The following is a 3,143-nucleotide window of genomic DNA, read 5'->3' as shown; positions in this document are numbered from 1 at the left end:
CTGATGAGCATACTAAAGGCACTCTTACCACGCCAGAGATTCCAAGGGTTTTAGAGGCTGTGTGCCAAGAACCAGGAGCAGAGACCAAATATAGATTTCTTATGGTATGGTAATATCACAAGTGTCATTCTGTATACCACCCTCTGCCACCCACCTCACTCAGTTGGGCTCCCTGAGGCACATTGTGCTCTCCACCTTCTCCTGTGGGGTCAAGTGGGGTGTGGTTTAAATGGATCATCCAGTCCTGCTGGGGGAGGTTGGGTGTGTCACACCCCCCACAGGCGGAATGCAAGCCCTGTGTGAAAACAGCCACATCCAGGAATTCTAGCTTTGGTTTGGTTTTTCCTGCACAAGTACCCCTGAGGCACAATATTCTCTCAGGGCACTGCAATGCTACAGCGGTTCAGACTGGAGCTCCTGCCTTCACACCCAGCCCAAGGTAATCACGATTGCTCTAAGTCACTCAGGACAGTCCAGTTACCCACTTTTCCAGCTTTCCCTACAATTGGAGGAAGCAGAATACACCTTGGCTCTGGCCAGCAAGGCATGAACAGAAGTCGGCTGGGGCTCTAGGAAACCTCGCCCTCCCGATGAAAGGGCAGATGCTGCTGGCACACTTCGCTCCGTTGTCCCAAGAGCAGAGGAGAGGCCTGGTGCTACAGTGGCCATCTGTACCCAGGAGGTGACAGACATGGTTATGGCATGGATGGAAAGAGAGAAGGGGAGGGTGTGGTCCCTGGTGGCACCATTAGGTGACTGAACCAATGCCAGAAATTGTCCATTCTGGATTCACAGTTACACATGAAAAAGTGACCCACCACCTGTCTAAGGCGTAGCTGGTTTGGGGTTCTTTTTCTCCTACTTGCAGCCAAACACACTCCTACTGATTCCATGCATGGATGAACAGCCGGTCAGTGGAACAGAACCGCCTGCCCAGAAATAATGGATGTGTCATACTCAGTGGGCAAGAGCAGGAGCGTCTTCAGAAGTAGAACCAGGACTATTCACTGGCCATATGGGGGAGGAAAGTTGGATTCATATCTCACTCCACACACAAAAATAGATTGCACATGTGTCAAAGGAGGGGAAAAATGAACTGCAAAGACCTAGAAGAAAACAAAACTAAATATTTATAAATAGATATAATAAATAAAGATAAAGTACCAATCAAAAGCAGACTACATGGGCGTTAGGAGGGCACAGTAGGATGTGCCCTGCCCCACATCACAGTGATTTTATCCTACATTAATATGACCCTCCCACTACAAATTTCTACCTGCTCCCAACTCCCAAATTAATTCCCCCAAAGTTCCGGGGGTGGAAAGAGGCAAGAAGTACTTTAATTGTTTGGAACATGCTAGCACGGAAACCACAGTTCAATTTGTTCTGCAACAGCAAATGACTTTTTTTGTGACAGAAGCTAAAAGCAAAGAGAAACCACAAGGAGTTCTGCTTCCTACCATATCAAGGACTTAATATTATGAAAATAATAGCAACAACAACGAAAACGAAGCCTGTAAACATGCTAGATTAAATGCCACAGACATTCTTTGAAATGCATAGCTGGGCTTGCAAGAACGTAAAAGTACTCCATGGAACAAACAGGGAAATGGAAGAGAAAGCCTGGGCAATTAGGAGCAAATGGTTTTTGTGGAATTGAACAGAGGTCTTGGTTTTAAGATCCCCATGGGGATGGGAAATAAGGCCTGGAGCCCACGGGAAGGGAGGAGATGAAATGACAGCCCCCTCCTACCTGTAAGCCTGGAACCCTTGAGAGGCTGCTTCCTTCATGAAAGGTGGGCTAGAACAATCCCACCTACAGCAGATGGTCAAGTCTCTGCATGGCCAGCTGGGAAGGCTTGCCCGGCTGTGGCCAAATACGAGAGAAGAGACTACGGAGAAGACGAGAGGGAAGAGAGGGAGGGGAACTGCAGGTTCCTGCTAACGTGCACCTACAAACCTGGGAGCACATGCCTGGGGGTGGATGGAGTGTGCTGGGCAAGATTAGGGGTGGAATAGTAGGCCAGGAGGGGGAGAATTTACCAATGAAGGGGCACCGTCCCGTGACTCAGGAGTCTTCATCATGACAAGGGCAGCTTGAGCTGTGCCTAATGCTTTACTAGGCTGCCATCTTGAGATTTAGCAACAATGGCCTGCAGTAGATGAGGAAGAAATGCTGGAGTTACCTTGGCAGATTTTGATCAAGAAAGGGATCAAGTGGCTCAGAAGGTGCACGTGTTACAATGAAGTTATGATGGAAGACTGGAGAACTTACTCCCTGTGTATGTTCCCAGGGAGCGCCAGAGGACTCTGCTTGTGAAGACTGTAAGACATGCACCAGTGAAGGAAGCCCCGGCGGCGTTGCCAAATCCGGTTGTGGTCATCATCTGCAGTACAGGATTGATGACGGGAGGCTGCTATAGAACTGGCCTCCCTAGTGTCCACGGAGAAGAGAGGATCCCAAAACGGCAGAGACCATGTAGCACTCTTAACCCTCAGAGGCAAGATGATGCCATTACCAAAATGTGCAATGAGGGTGGAAAGGTCACCAGGAGCCTGACATTCAGGGCTCTGTGGTAACGAATAATAGGCTGTGTTCTGGCCGGGCGCAGTGGCTCATGTCTGTAATTCCAGCACTTTGGGAGGCAGAGGCGGGCAGATCATGAGGTCAAGAGATCGAGACCATCCTGGCCAACATGGTGAAACCCCATCTCTACTAAAAATACAAAAATTTCCTGAGCGTGGTGGTGCATGTCTGTAATCCTAGCTACTCGGGAGGCTGAGGCAGGAGAATCGCTCGAACCCGGGAGGTGGAGGTTGCAGTGAGCTGAGATTGCGCCACTGCACTCCAGCCTGGCGACAGAGCGAGACTCCATCTAAAAAATAAAACAAAACAAAAAAAGACTGTGTTCTCTCTAGAGGCAGGGTAGGTGGGCAGCCAGTGTGCTTATTTGACTTATGTAACCAAAAAAGGATAAGAATGTGTGAGCAGAAGGCTGAGGCCAGCCACTTCAATGGAAACATTATTATCTCTTCGCCAACTTCTAGGTTCGTGCTAGTTCTCAGACTCAGAGCCTGCGGATTGAAGGGAAGAAAGGTCCTCTTGAGGAAGGATCCTGAAAGCCCACACAGTAGGATTCTCC

The 3,143-nt window shown here is 49.1% G+C and overlaps 1 annotated feature.

Moving 5' to 3' along the window:
- Positions 875 to 1,075: a silencer, noted in NCBI's record as "peak1297 fragment used in MPRA reporter construct". NCBI's record gives its function as "represses an SCP1 promoter by STARR-seq MPRAs in K562 erythroleukemia cells {active_cell/tissue: K562}" and the evidence as "EXISTENCE:reporter gene assay evidence [ECO:0000049][PMID:32103011]".

Source organism: Homo sapiens, chromosome 11 (assembly GCF_000001405.40).
Source record: "Homo sapiens chromosome 11, GRCh38.p14 Primary Assembly".
In the NCBI taxonomy this organism is placed as follows: domain Eukaryota; kingdom Metazoa; phylum Chordata; class Mammalia; order Primates; family Hominidae; genus Homo; species Homo sapiens.
This window is presented reverse-complemented; position numbering and strand designations above follow the sequence as displayed.